The 16,887-nt window shown below is 33.5% G+C and overlaps 1 protein-coding gene across 20 annotated transcripts in view; it reads right to left on the reverse strand.

The window, feature by feature from the left end:
* Positions 1–16,887, reverse strand: part of CDH18 (cadherin 18) — a 1,104,418-nt gene that overhangs the window by 115,782 nt on the left and 971,749 nt on the right. For all 20 annotated transcript variants that reach the window (XM_005248228.5, NM_001349562.2, NM_001349556.2 and 17 more), the window contains one exon: positions 3,980–4,167. In XM_005248228.5, the coding sequence (XP_005248285.1) occupies positions 3,980–4,167 (188 nt within the window). The remainder of the gene's footprint in view (positions 1–3,979; positions 4,168–16,887) is intronic.

A 16,887-nucleotide genomic window follows, 5' to 3' on the forward strand; every position in this document is an offset into this window, starting at 1 on the left:
ATTTAAGATACTTATAGATGCTGGATATTAGAGCTTTGTCAGATGCATAGATTACAAAAATCTTCTCCCATTCTGTATGTTGTCTGTTTAACCTGTTGATAGTTTCTTTTACTGTGAAGAAGCTATTTAGTTTAATTATTAGATTGGTACAAAAGTAATTGTGATTTTGCAACTAAAATAAATGCCAAAACCTGCAATTACTTTTGCATCAACCTAACAGAACTTCTTTGTCAGTTTTAGCTTTTGTTGCAATTGCTTTAGGGCTCTTCGTCATGATATCTTTGCCTGTGCCTATGTCCTGAAAGGTAATACGTAGGTTTTTCTTCTAGGATTTTTATAGTTTTGGGTTTTACATTTAAGTCTTTAATGCATGTTGAATTGATTTTTGTATGTAGTATAAGGAAGGGTGTCAGTTTCAATTTTCTGCATATGGTTAGCCAGTTGTCCCAGCACAATTTATTAAATAGGGAATCCTTTCTCCATTGCTTGTTTTTGTCAGGTTTGTCAAAGATCAGATAGTGGTAAGTATGCAGTCTTATGTGTGGGTTTTGTATTGTTTTCCATTGGTCTGTGTGTCTTTTTTTTTTGTACCAGTACCATGTTGTTTTGGTTACTGTAGCACTGTAGTATAGTTTGAAGTCAGATAGCATAATGCCTCCAGATTTCTTTTTGCTTAGGATTGCCTTGGCTCTTCAGGTTTTTTGGTTTCATATAAATTTTAAATCATTTTTTTCTAATTCTCTGAAGAATGTTAATGATAGTTTCATGGAAATAGCACTGAATCTATTGATTGCTTTGGGCAGTATGGCCAATTTCACGATATTGATTCTTCCTATCCATGAGCATGGAATTTTTTTCGTTTGTTTCTGTCATCTCTGATTTCTTTGAGCAGTGGTTTGTAGTTCTTCTTGAATAGGTCCTTTGCTTCCCTTGTTAACCATATCGCTAGGTATTTTACTCTTTTTGTGGTGATTGTGAATGAGAGTTCATTCATGATTTGTTTTAGGCTTGCCTATTGTTGGTGTATAGGAATGCTGGTGATTTTTGCATATTGATGTTGTATCCTGAGACTTTGCTGAAGTTGCTTATCAGCTTAAGTAGCTTTTGGGCTCAGATGAGGAAGTTTCCGAGATATAGGGTTATGTCATCTGCAAAGAAAATTTGATTTCCTCTCTTCCTATCTGAATACCCTTTATTTTTTTTCTCTTGCCTGATTGCCCTGGCCAGAAGCTTTATAAGCGAAGGAGAAATAAAATCCTTTCCAGACAAATAAATGCTGAGGGAATTCATTACCACCATATCTGCCTTACAAGAGCTTCTGAAGGAAGTATTAAATATGGAAAGAAAAACTTGTTATCGGCCTAAAAAACACACTGAAATACACAGACCAGTGACTCTATGAAGCAACCATATAAACAACTGTGCAAAATAACCAGCTAGCATCATAATGACTGGATCAAATCCACTCATAACAATACTAACATTAAATGTAAATAGGCTAAACCCCCCAATAAAAAGACACAGAGTGGCAAGCTGGAGAAAGAGCCAAGAGCCATTGGTATGCTGTTTTCAAAAGACCCATCTCACGTGCAAAGACACTTATGGGCTCATAAAGGGATGAAGAAAAATTTACCAAGCAAATGGAAAACAGGAAAAAGCAGGGGTTGCAATCCTAGTTTCTGACAGAACAGACTTTAAGCCAAAAAAGATCGAAAAAGACAAAAAAAGAGCATTACATAATGGTAAAGGGTTCAATTCAACAAGAAGTAACTACACTAAATGTATATGGACTCAATACAGGAGTACCCAGATTCATACAGCAAGCTCTTAGAAACCTTCAAAGAGACTTAGACTCCCACACAATAATAGTGGGAGACTTTAAAACCTCACTGACATTATGAGACAGATCATCAAGACAGAAAAGTAATAAAGATATTTAGGACCTGAACTCAGCTCTGGCTCTAGAAGATATCTATTTAGTAGATTCTGATAGTTATCTATAGAACTCTCCACCCCAAAACAACAGAATATACATTCTCCTCGTTGCCACATGACACTTACTCTAAAGTTGATCAAATACAACCTGCTAATGATAATCACCCAGTCAATCCTGTACTTCCTTTAGCCGAATCCAATCAATGTTTATAATCCAAAATTGTTTTAAATTTCTAGAACAGTTCACTTTTTGATGACTAGCTACCTCCTGAACAGCGTCCCTTGGGAATATTCAATGCCAACATTCTCTCCTATTATTTGAAGATTTCCTCCAAGATTATATTTCCTCCGTTTTCATGCTTGTTTCTTAAACAATCAGTTGTCAGATTAATCTTTTAGAAAAAATTAATCCAGTTTACCTGAATTATTTTGAGTAAAGAAGTCACCCATAAAATGAAAAGCAGGCAATCCTCTTCTCACCTTTGTATCCACATCCTCATCCATTAATTACTCTAATATTTATTGAATGCCAACTCTGTGTCAGAAAAAAATGCTAGATGTTGGGAATGCAGTGATAAGTTAACACACAGCCTTGGCATCATGTTGCTTAATTCAGCAATCAGAAATCTTGACATCAAATTAGACCTAGTCACTTTTTTCTTACATCTCTTCAATGGCTTTCCATTTGGCAAAATTCAGCAAGGCCTTGTGTGCTCTTGTGCCCACTGACTGCATTCCTCATTCCCTCTACTCTGGATTCAGCCACATTATTTTGATCCCTTAAATGTGCCATGTTTCACTCACCTCAGGCACTTGGTACATTTTCTGTCTTCCTGAAATAGTCATCCTTACAGTCTATATCTAATTTACTCCTAGGCTTCTTTCAATTCTCTCTTTAACTATTGCTGAATACCAGAAAGGATTAAATATTCTAGATTTTTCCCCTGTAGCACTATATAACTCTTCTTCATAGTAAACATATTATTGATCTAGGAATTTATGTGATATTTGATTAATGTCTGTCCACGTCCATAGATTAGAAGCTGTGTGCATGTAGGGGCTGAGTCTGCCTTTGCTCCAGACTTATCCTTCTTATTCTTTGCATAGCTCATGTGGAACATAGCAACTGACACATTGAAGGAACTCAAAATAAATACATTTGTTAAATAAATATGCAAATTGTCTCTTTTCATTATCCCCTTGACCTAGGTTTGACAATTTGAGAAAAAAAATTTACAATGAGAAAATACTTTAGGTGAAGACATTGATATTTTATATGTACCAGTGGTGATTATTGTTCTCTAAGTGTTTAAAACCAAGTTATTCTTAGAACTTCCCCATGGTAGTATTCAACAGACAAGTTAATTTTCAATTTTAAATCAATATAAAATTATAATTACTAGAAGAAGAATTAATGAGATTTCATACAATCCAAATAGAAAAGTATATGTATACAAGTAGCTAGACAGATGGATAGATAGATAGATAGATAGATAGACAGACAGACAGATAGATAGATAGATAGACAACAGGCTCACATCAACATCTACAGTAGGCACATTAGAATAAAATATCTCAGCCTGTTATCTAAATAGTTCTACTGTAGAATCACCTGGAGTACATTTTAAAATGGCAAATATCTCAGCCCCCTTCGTCATCCTCTCTGGCTATAACAGAATCACCACAGCTTTATTAGGATGATGCTTTGATTCTTTGCACTTCACTGAAATTACTTTTATTTAATTCTTGACTATTAACATTGGGACATTTCAGGAAGATTAGAGCAGAGACAAAATGAACAAAGATGGAGAGAAACATTGTTAGTGTAGTCTACATCAGATCTTCCCACCGCAGCAAAACATATTTTCTGAAGAAAAGATCTAAACAGTTGACAAACAACAATTAAAATGTAATTATATCGCAAAGTGACAATATTTTATCATTTTAATGGCCTGACAGCGTGGATTATTCATGCCTCTGCCAAATTTCCATTCAGGAAAAGATGAGTGAGTTGCCTGAATCACAAAAAGTATGTTCTTTTTACCTTCTTTAAAGAAAGGATTCCTTCTCTGGTCTCTTTGTCAGTGGAGATTGAGAATATTCCCATGCCATCACCATTTATGATGGAGTAGGTCATGTCAGCATTTGAGCCAGTGTCAGCATCATTTGCCTTGATTTTCCCAACAGCTGAACCAACTTGAGCTGACTCAGGAACATATAGCTGATAGTGTTCTGGAAGACATTTCATATTAAACATATTTAAATACAATGTTCATGAAATAATCTTACAAGAAAAAATAAATATTTAGAGCACATATTCAAATGAAGACTATATTAGGTAATGCATCAAATGGACTTTTTTAGATTTTAAAAGTAGACTATTTTGTAATTAAATACTAGATTTATATAAACTTTAAAAGGTACGTAAAATACTTTGCATGAAAATAATTTCTATATTTGAATATGAAATATTTTATTAGCTCTAAACCCTTAAGCTACAGACAATTAGAAGAGAGGTAAAGTTTTCATTCTGATTTTGAACCAAAACTGAATTAGTCAAGTATTAGTGTAATCCCAATTTATTCTTCCACCCATCGTAAATGTGAAGTTCAAATATAAAAATGTGGAAACAAAAAGTATGGAAATATGGAATTCAACAGAAAAACAAGATAAAATGCCATAGCCTGTTTGTGAATATAGATAATTATTTTTATCAAGAATAGTGAGATATACAGTCATGTCCGAGAACGTGAATGTAGTTACATATTTCTTTAGCATAAATTCCCTATCAGCTTCTAAAAAGGATTTGAGGTGGCTTCATAATAAAGTTTTAAATAACAAAGTTATTAAAATTTTTAAAAATCGATTACAGAGTTGAAGCATGAGAAAGTAAATAGCTATAGAAAATTAAACAGCATTTGTGAATTAGCATTAATTTTGACACCTAATATTTTGGGTGAAGACAGTGATATTTTATATACACAAGTGGTGATTATTGTTCTCTAAGTGTTAAAACCAATTTATTCTTAGAACTCCCCTATGATAGTATTCAACAGACAAGTTAATATTCAATTTTAAATCAATATACAATTGTAATTACTAGAAGAAGAATTAATGAGATTTCACACAATCCAAATAGAAAAGTATATGTACACAAGTAGCTCATTAGACAGATGGATAGATAGACAGATAGATAGATTAGATAGATAGCTAACAATTTTAAAGCACTGTTAATTTTATACTCTCATTGTCTAATAGGTACAAAGATCATTTTTCCAAAGTTTGTCCTGATATTAAATGTCGAATGGAACCGTTTCTATAGTGCTTATATTAAGAAGCATAATGAACATGTTTTTAATAATTATTTTATTGACAAGTTAAAAAAGCTTATTAGAGCAATTTATTATAGAAAATTCAAAACATTATAAATAACAGAAGCCCAGGAATCTTGAATTAAAATGTAATTTGATAAAATAATTTCTACCAAGATTAAATTAATAGTGATTCAATGCTATACAAGGACATAGACTATATAGATAAGTGAATGCACAATCTCTAGAAAAATAATTTCAGTGAGACAATCATTTGTCATTAGTGATATGATACTGAAAACAAAAGTCTAATCTAGTGAATGTTGAAAATATCATTTTTTATTATTGTGATAAGAACACTTAATATGAGATCCATCCGATAAACAAATTTCTACACAACACAGCCTTGCTATTCATAGACACAGTATTTTTCAGCAGATCTCTAGGACTTATTCATTTTGCATAATGACAATTTTATATTTGTTGATTAGCAACTCCTCACTCACCTTCCCTAGTCCCTGGTAACAACCACTCCATTCTTTGATTGTATGAATTTTACTATTTTAGATACCTCATCTGCTTGAAATATGCAGTACTATATTTGCCCTTCAGTGACTGGTTGATTTAATTCAGTCTACTGTCCTCAGTAGTCATCCATGTTGTTGCGTATTGCAAGATCTCTTTTTTTAAGGCTAAATACTATTCCATTGTTTGATAAACCACATTTTTCTCTACATTCTCTGTCTATGGACATTTAGATTGTTTCCATGTCTTAGCTATTGTGAATAATGCTGCAATAAACATAGGAATGCTAATATTTATTTGTAATCCTGATTTCGATTTTTTAAATAAATACTCAGAAGTGTGGTCATTAGGTCATATAGTAATTTTACTTTTAATTTTTGAGGAATCTTTATACTATATTCTGTAGACGCTACACAAGTTCACATTTCTACCAACAGTTTGCAAGGGTTCAAATGTCTTCACATCCTCAACAATACTTTTCTGTCATTGGCTTTTTTCATAAATAGCCATCCTGAGAGGTATGAGGTGTTATCATACTGTAGTTTTGATTTGCATTTCCATGATGACTGGTGACATTGAGCATCTTTATACGTACCTATTGTCCATTTGTATGTGTTCTTTAGAGAAACAGCTATTCAGGTCCTAGGCCCATTTTTTAATCAGGTTATTGATCATTTTTTTCCTTCCTTCTTCTCCTTCTCCCTCTCCTCCTCCCTTTCTTTCCCACTTCTGTCTCCCCCTCCCCTTCTACTTCACCCACTCCCCCTCCCGTTCTTCCTCCTCCTTCTCCTCCTTCACCCACTCCCCCTCCCCTTCTACCTCCTTCTTCCTCCTCCTTCTCTTCCTCTTCCTCCTCCTCCTTCTTCTTCTTCTTCTTCTTCTTCTTCTTCTTCTTCTTCTTCTTCTTCTTCTTTCCTTTTATTATTGAGTTGTAGGAGTTTTATTTTGGAAATAAGCCTTTTAGCAGACAGGGCTTGCAAATATTTCATTCCACTTCACAGGCTGCTTTTCACTCTGTAGATTGTTTCCTTTGTTGTGTTAAAAATTTACAACTTGATATAGTCCCATTTGTCTGTTTTTGTTATTATTGCCTGGGATTTGCAGGTCATATCAGATTAATCATTATCAAGACTAACGTCATAAAGCTTTACCCCTATTTTTTTCTTTTAAGAGTTGTGCAGTTTCAGATTTTATGTTTAACTTGTTAATCCAGTTTGAATTAGTGTTTGTGTATGATATACAAAAAGAAGCCATTTTCATTCTTCTGTATATAGATAATGAGTTTTCAATGCATTTTTTTGTTTGTTTGTTTTGTTTTGTTTTGTTTTTTGACACGGAATCTCACTCTGGCTGGAGTGGAATGGTGCATCTTGGCTCACTGCAAGCTCTGCCTCCTGGCTTCACAGGATTCTTCTGCCTCAACCTCCTGAGTAGCTGTGATTACAGGCCCGCACCACCACACACAGCTAATTTTTTGTATTTTTAGTAGAGACAGGGTTTCACTATGTTGGCCAGACTGGTCTTGAACTCCTGACCTCGTGATCCACCTGTCTCTGCCTTCCAAAGTGCTGGGATTACAGGCATGAGCCACTTCGCCCGGCCTGTTTTTAAAGAGACTATCCTTTTCTCATTGTGTATTCTTAGCAACCTTGTTGAAGATGATTTTACTACCTGTGTCTGGATTTATTTAGAGGCTCTACTCTGTTCCACTGGCCTACATATCTGTCTGTATGCCATTACCATACTATTTTAATTACTGCAGCATTTTAAAATATTTTGAAATCAGCAAGTGTGTTGCCTCCAGCTTTGTTCTTCTTTTTCAACATTGTTTTGCTTCTTCAGGGCCTTTGTCTTTCCACATATATTTTAGAATTGTTCTTTGCTCTCCCTGTAAAAAAATGTCATTTGGATTTTGATAGGGATTTTACTGTACTTGTAGAGTTAAAATGTAGTATAGACATTTTATGAGAGTGCAACTGATAACATTATATACATAAAAGCTTAATGCTTTTCCAATAAGATCAGGAACAAAGCAAGGATGCCCACTCTTACCACTTCTTTTCAAAATAGTACTGGAAGACATAGCCAGAGCAATTAGGCATTTAAAAAAAATAAAAGGGAACTAAATCAGAATGAAATAAGTAAAACTGTCCTTGTTTGTAGATAACATAATATTACATATATAAAAAAACAGGCTCCACAAAAAACAAAAATTGTTATAACTAATAAACAAATTCGGTAAAGTTGCAGACATAAAATCAACAAAAAAATTAGTTGCATCTATACACACTAATAAAAATTATTTGAAAAAGTTAGAAAAATAATCCCATTTATAATAGCATTGAAATGAATAAAATCTGTATAAATAAACTAAGGAAGTGAAAGTCTCATGCACTGAAAATTATAAAACATGGATGAAAAATGTAAAAAGACAAAAGGAAGTGAAGGACTTATACACCGTAAACTAGAAAACATGGATGAAAAATGTAAAAAGACAAATAAATGGAAAGACATTCAGTGTTCATGGTTTAAAATATTTATTTGAACCTGGTACGGTGGCTCGAGACCTGTTCGAGACTAGCCTGACCAACATGGTGAAATCCCATCCCTACCAAAAATACAAAAATTAGCTGGGTGTGGTGGCACACGCCTGTAATCCCAGCTACTTGGGAGACTGAGGCAGGAGAATCGCTTGAACCTGGGAGGCAGAGGTTGCAGTGAGCCGACGTTGTGCCACTGCACTCAGCCTGGGCGACAGAGCGAGACTCCATCTCAAAAATAAAAAAATCATTTGATAAACTTCTAAAGACAAAAATGTATAATTTTAAATGTGCATGTATAGATACTAAGGGTTGACACACGTGTTCATGTATGTGTTTGTGTTTAGTCAATGTTCAACAAATATTTTTCTCAGCTCTCTTTCATAAGCATTGGAGAATACACCTGGAATAAACTCACAGCAAAGTAAGAAAGACATTAGCTTTTAGTCTAACTAAACTAAATGTCCGAATAAATTGTATGTTCAACCAACATATCTTTTCCTGTGTAAAACACCCTCTTCTTTTAAACAAACAATCCCTTGACCTTAACCATATGGTTTTATCAAGATCTACCATTACTAAAAGATCTATCTTCCTTGATTCTGTGAATTGGCATGGGAAAAGCATGAGACCCAAATGTTATAGGATCCCTCCTTCGTTCTCACAGTTGATTGGTGAAGGGTAGGCAGTTTTTCAAACATCTCCAAAAAGAGTATATTTCTCAAAAATGTTGAACTGGAACTAGAAAATAACTTTCATCTCTCTTTGGTGGCACAGCTATGAAATACTAAGAAGAGGCTTTTGTCAATGGTCGTGTTTCCAAAATTGATGTTGAAAGGCCAAATTTGAGGGCATAAAATCAGCATCAAAGAGAAGCCATGTGATTTGCACTGGCCTTGAAAATATCATGATGTTCCTGAAAAGTCACATCTATAATGGGACACTGTTTTGCTCAACAAAATGTATAGACATATTACAAAATAAATTGGTACAAATTCTCTAAAATATTTTGAGACAGAGACTAGAAGGAGTCAATTTTTTTGGATGCTGTGGTCTCCAAGGTCCAACTAAACCAGAATTAACCACTATTACATAAGCCTTCAAAAACCTGTCAAGTAGTTAATACTAGGATGGTAACACTAGAAAACCAAAGATGTCTTAGTTAACAGAGATAAATAAATACATTATAGAATTACTATGATGATAGCGTTATAAAGAAGGTTGTTTTCACAAAGCGGATTGCAAAAAACTGTTCAAATGGGTCACAAAAGACTCACGGCCCAGAAAACATTTAGGCTGGGTCTTAAAATATGAAACAGATTCCTGGTACAGGCAGATTATGTTTATAGAAAAAAAACCTGATAATTCTTGACACATTTTAAGAATTGCAAGAATAGTAACTTCCCCATTCACTATGTCCCATTAAACAAAGGAGTGCATTAAGATTAATATTTTGTACACTCTCCATTGAGTTGAGAATTATAATTTGTAAATTAAGAGTCAACTTTTAGTAGACAGCCTTCAAGGCGGCCACATTTTACCCATGCATCCTGCTGATCATGTCCTTGAGTAATCATTTCCTCTTGAATGTTGGCTAGATATAGTGGCTCACTTATGATGGAGTTCAGCAAAAGTAATCGGACATCTCTTACAAGACTAGGTTACAAAAAGACTGTGGCTTCTATCATGGGAACACTTTCTCACTCCCTCTTGTATCACTCTCTGGGGCAAGCTATCTGTTATGTTTCGTTGCAGCCCATAGAGCAAGTGAGTGATGCCTGCCAAAAGCCATGTGAGTAAGCTGGAAGCAGAAACCAGCTCCACCTCCACTGAGGTAAGCCTTTGGGCAAGACCTCAGCCCCTGCTGACTTCTACACTGGAATCTCATAAGCATGAACCAAAGGCACTCATCTAAACCATAGCTAGATTCCTGACCTACAGAAATTGTGAAATAATAAATATTAGTTGTTTTAATATGCCAATTGGAATGCTTTGCAACACAGGCATAGATAAGCTATACACACTTTTGCAGTAGTTGCCAGTGATTTGCTAATTCAAATGCATTCTTTTATTGTTCTTGTCATCCTGGGGCACTGTGAGTTATGTTGAGGAAAACTGAAAACCAAAATAAACAAACAAACAAAACATGATTCTATTGCACCCTTATTGCTGATTATTTCTCCTCCTATGATTTTATACTTTGATATATTTCTAACAGAAAAAAAAACAAATAAAAAATGTCATGAAACACACACGTATGCTGTCAAATCTTAATGTTTTGGTGTATTTGCTTCAGTTCTCATTTGATAAAGTAACATACTATTGAAGGCATAGGTGATGCTTCTAAGTGAGCCATTTGCTATAATCAAATTCTCAGCTCATCTTCCCAGAACCATGATCATCCCCTTATATAACTTAAAAATATTAATGTAATGTGTTTCCACAAATACATATTCAAATAGTATGGTTATTTAGATTTTATGTTTATATTCATCTTTTTTTGTATTTTTTATTCAAAATCATAATTTGAGATGTAACTAAGATGTCGCATATAGTTCTAGTTTGTTAATTAGAATGTAGTGTTTATTTTAATAATATGCTACAAGTTATCTAACCTTATATTTTTCTAATTTAGAAATAGTCAAATGAATTTTACTTTACATATCTCCTTATTCACATGCAGGAAAATTTACTTAGGCTACAGCTATAAAAAAGGCCCTCTCTAGAGTTTTAGAACACAGACCTTCCCTGGTTGTATCACTACTTTGCTAATATCTCAGTTTCATTACAGACTTATCTTTCACTTTTTTCTTAAAAGAGAGTATTGTCCGTAACTTAGTACCTCATTTCTATTCCTTATATACACACTCTAGAAAGGTACATTTGTCCCTGTGGTTTCAACATCAACATATAAACTTATGGCTCCCAAATGAATAGTCACTTCTACTATATCCTGAGTTTCTGTTAAAATATTCAAAGGATGGTCATCTCCAACTTTACGCTGGGCATTTACAATCTTGCATCTTTTTTTAAAAAAGGAAATTGAAACTATTTGGAAAATTTAAAATGTAGAACAATGAAAAAAGAATAAATTGTTTAAAGTTTACAACAAAAGAAGGACATAGGAAACTGAATGAACCAAATATGAAGGTTAAACTTCATGTAACACTCCCCATTTGCTGATACAAACTATATTGAAAACAAAACAAATAAAAAATAAGAAATGAAAAAACTAAATGATAATTGTATTTTTAAAATATCAATTTGATAACAAAATTAAATTATCTCCTCACTTCCCTAAAATTGTTTATGTCCATGAAACTTACAACTGTTAAATAATTATGTTTAGTATTAAAAATTACTCAAGTTGGCTGTAGCAAAGGACATCCCACAATGAAGAGATGTGTTATCTTTAGTAAATTCCAGCTATTTAAGCCACATAGAAACAGTAATGGTAATATAACTTTTAGAATCTGGTTGTCCAACTTCACAGAATTACTAAAATTTGCAAATAAAATGTCAAATTTGTATTTATAACAAAGGGTTATTTATAACTATGCACTAATATGTGACTATTAATGAAAAATTGGAATAGACAAAATAGAAAAAAGGCAATTTGTTGTTTTATCACTAAAATAATTTTTTTAAAAATCATATGACTCAATTGATAATGTTTATTGCTTTGTGATTGTAGTGATATCATATTTAGTATTCTACCATAAAAGATAATAACTTTAAACTTTCAAATATAATTTCCATATATGTGTGTGTATATATATTTACATACACAAATATATGTACACACAGTGTTATATAATAGACGCAACATATTCATAGATGTCCTAAGATTATATAATCTAAAAGACATGGATCATGAATCTAGTTGATATAATGAAGAAATTGATGTAAACAATATCTGTTATATAATGGATTATGTGTCTTTTTATAAAAATTCAAGTCATTTAACATGTATTTTCAAAATGCAAGAATTTATTTTTCAAGTATTTACTAAGTAAAACAGATGTTATGCTGCTTTACACGTAGCTCTGCTTTTATGAATATAAAAATATTCATATTTATTATGCTGGCCCAGTACACTTACAGTATATATTTTGGTCATCATATACATAAGTGAGAAAAGAACACCCCCAGTTATTAATAGTCATCAGCTCTGTGACGATATTTCATCTGATTTGTGTAGCAGTAAAGAGTGACTAAAAAAACACAGAGCCGGCCAGGCGTGGTGGCTCACGCCTATAATCCCAGCACTTTGGGAGGCCGAGGCGGGCAGATCACGAGATCAAGAGATCGAGACCATCCTGGCTAACACGGTGAAACCCCATCTCTACTAAAAATACAAAAAATTAGCCGGGCATGGTGGTGGAAGATGCCTGTAGCTGAGGCAGGAGAATGGCGTGAACCCGGGAGGCAGAGCTTGCAGTGAGCCGAGATCGCACCACTGCACTCCAGCCTGGGCGACAGAGCGAGACTGTGTCTCAATAAAAACAAGACAAAAACAAAAACAAAACCAAAACAGAACCTCAATAGAAAGAAATCCAATTCCCATAATGTTCTCCATGTTTTCAGGGTGGGAGAGACAGTGAGCACTGGAGCACCTATTTAGCCATGCAACAGGGGAGCTCTTTAACTGTAAAGGTCACTTTGCTATGGATGAAGCTGGAAACCATCATTCTCAGCAAACTATTGCAAGGACAGAAAACCAAACAGTGCATGTTCTCACTCATAGGTGGGAATTAAACTATGAGAACACTTGGACACAGGAAGGGAAACATCACACACCGGGGCCTGTCGTGGGTGGGGGAGGGGGGAGGGATAGCACTAGGAGATATACCTAATGTAAATGACGAGTTAATGGGTGCAGCAAACCAACATGCACATGTATACATATGTAACAAACCTGCACGTTGTGCACATCTACCCTAGAACTTAAAAGTATAATAATTAAAAATAAAAATAAAAATAAATAAGCCTCTAGAGTTTTTCAGCTGGTACCAGCTTTTAATGTCTTAAATTAACTTATATCTACTGAGCCAGCTGTTCTCTATAACACTAAAGTCGATGCTTAGGGTCACTAAGGGTTGTCTCTCCTCACTCCTCTAAATTAAATTATTTTTTCATACTAGATACCTAATTATTTTAACAGTAAAATATCAATAATTTATACACTTGAATTTATTTTTCTGTCCTTTTTCTTGAAAAAAAGAAATATAGTTTTCATGAAGGTCTGTCCATTCTTGGCAATTATTAGATACTTTCATGAAAAAAATAGAAAGTACATGGGGAGAAATTTTTTCCTTGAATGAAATATCTACCACACTAATATGTACTATAGGATATGTAGTATTTTAATGCCTTACATTATTTTTAAGGTGGAATCCTTTTCTTATCTGGAAAAATTAAATGTATTGGTAGCACTTATGATTTAAATGCCTAAAAAAACAAAGATGGGACTTACATTAGAAAAATGGCAGATTACAAAGCTCCAAGCCTGTACACATTTGAATATTTCCCAGAGTTTTTATAAGTTTAGCTCAGCTAGTTTTAAGTTGCTTTTCGATGTTTCCATGAGGGAACAAGTGACTTAAAACTAGGTGAAATAAACTTATAAAAGCTCTTGGAAATATTCAAACGTGTACAGAAAGCAAGAAAATCCTCAACTAAGGAAAAAATAAATTCAAGCATTAAGCATCTGTGGTGTTTCAACTTGCTCTTGCCCCATTCCCTTCCCAGGGCAAGGAGATCTTGGTCTGCAGGAGGTTACAAGCCAGTTCCAAGATCTGTTCTCTCTAGAAAAAGATCAACAAAATTGATTGGCTAAGAAAGAGAAAGAGGACTCTCAAATAATTACAATCAGAAATAAAGTAGAAACACTACCCTGATTTTACAGAAATAAAAGGATTTTACAAGGAAGTCCTGCAAACAAATACCAACTAACTGGAGAATGTATAAATAATGAATATATTCTTTTAAATATGACTTACCATGACAAAATTAGGAAGAAATGAAAATTCTGAATAGACATACTACTGATAAGGAGAGTCAATAAGCCATCAAAAACTTCCCAAGAAAGAAAAGCCCTGCAACAGATGGCTGTACTGGTTTAATTCTACTAACCATTTAAAGGAGAATTAACACAAATTCTCAAAATCTTGCAAAAAGTAAAAAAAGAGGGAAATTACCTAATTTATTTTATAAGACCAGCATTCTCCTGAAACCAAAAATAGACAGACACTAAAATAATAGAAAATTAAAAACCAATATTCCTTATGAATATTAATACAAAAATTATTAACAAAATACTAGTAAACTGATTTCAGCATAATATCAAAGGAATGTACACCATGAGCAATTGGGATTTTTTTTCCTGGAATACAAGCTTAGTTCAACATATGAAAATCAATTAATTTTCATTTCCATTAACAGAATAAAGAAAAAAATCACAAGGTCATGTCAATTCTACAGAAAAAGCAATTGACAAAATTCAATTCCATTTTATGATTTAAAAAAACATAAAATAGAACTATAAATAAAAGAAACTTCCTCAACATAATAGAAGCCATATGTTAAAACCCCACAACTAATATCACTAAAATGGTGAAAGACTAAATGCATTTACTGTAAGACCAGGAACAAAAGAGGATGCCTACTTTTGAACTTTTATTCAACATAATACTGGAAATCCTAGCCAGAGTAATAAGGCAAGAAAAAGAAATTAAAAGCATCCAAATTGGGAAGGAAGTAATACAATTATCTCTGTTCACAGATGACATGATCTTATACATAGAAAGCCATAGGGAGTACACAAATACAGACACACCCCCACATACAAACACACACAAACTTTTAGAACTAATAAAGTAATTCAGCAAAGTTACAAGATAATGAATAATTGCAAAAGAAAATAAAGCAATTCCGTTCTTAATACCATAAAAATGATAAAATATTTAGGAATAAATCTAACAAAAAATGTGTGCACTGACAATGACAAAATATTGTGGAAATAAATTAAAGACATAAATAAATGCAAACTATTATAAGTTAACACTGCAAAACACACACACACACACACAATCCAATCTTTTAAATAGGCAAAGAACTGGAATAGACATCTCTCCAAAAAAGATAAAAAATTAAAATTAAAAAAAAAGAAGACAATGACTAGTGTTGGTGAGGATGTGGAGAAATTAGAACTCTTGTGCCCTGTTAGTGGAGCAGTGAAATGGTATAGCCATTGTGGAGAACAGTATGGAGGCCTCTAAAAAAATTAAACATGGCAGGGCGTGGTGGCTCATGCCTGTAATCCTAGCATTTTGGGTGGCCAAGGCAGGTGGATCACCTGCAGTCAGGAGTTCAAGATCAGCCTGGCCAACATGATAAAACCCTATCTCTACTAAAAGTACAAAAAATTAGCTGGGCATGGTGGAGGGCACCTGTAATCCCAGCTAATCAGGAGGCTGAGGCAGAAGAATCCCTTGAATCCAGGAGGCGGAGGGTGCAGTGAGCCAAGATCGCACCATTGCACTCCAGCCTGGTGAAGAAGAGCGAAACTCCATCTCAAAAAAAAAAATAAATAAATAAACATAAAATTACCATATGATCTAGCAATTCCGCTTCTGGATATATACTTAAAAGCACTGAAAGTGGGGTGTTACACCCATATTCACAGCCACCTTACTCATGATAGCCAAAAGGTAGAATCACTCCAAACATGCAGCAACAGAGGAACTGATAAAATGCAGTATACACATTAAATAAAATATTAATTATCATTACAAAATAAGTTAAAATTTGATACATCTTACAGCCTGGATGAACCTTGAAACATTATGTTTACCAAAGTTAGCCAGGCACAGAAAGACAAATATTGCATGATTCCACTTATATAAAGTACCTAGAACAGTAAAATTCATAGAGATAGAAAGTTGAATAACCAGAGACTCAGGAGAGGGAAAATGGGAAAGTACCCATTAAACAATGGGTACAAAGTTTTACTTTTGCAAGACGAAAAGACTTCTGTATTTCAATAGTACCATTGGTTGCACAACAATATGAATATACGTAGTGTTATTTAAATGCACACATTAGAGTTGTTAAAAGGATAAATATTATTGTATATATTTTTTAACTACAAAAAATAAAATCAAAATGAGAACAACTAGTAATTGAGCTGTTTTTCAGAATAGAAAAATGAAGAAGAGACACAACAAATGCTGGGAATTTATGATGAAAATCTGACCAAAATCACAAAAAGTGATATTACTACCAAAATATATAATTATCTTCAAAATGCTAGTTTTGCTTGGATTTTCAGTGTGTGAGGCTTAGATTTTCTGAGATATGAGGTAGGGCAATGTGCATTTTTCAATTTTAGGCACCAAATTGTTTATAGTATCAATAAAATATATATAAATATATAAATTATAAATACATAAATAAAATATATATAAATTATGTTCTAACTCATTAGAATTTTTTTTACTTTTTAATTTCTTCAAGTAGTACTAGAATAATTTATTCTGGTTTTAAGACTACATAATTTTTCACAGCTTAGGAAT

This window comes from Homo sapiens, chromosome 5 (assembly GCF_000001405.40).
Source record: "Homo sapiens chromosome 5, GRCh38.p14 Primary Assembly".
Classification (NCBI taxonomy): Eukaryota; Metazoa; Chordata; class Mammalia; order Primates; family Hominidae; genus Homo; species Homo sapiens.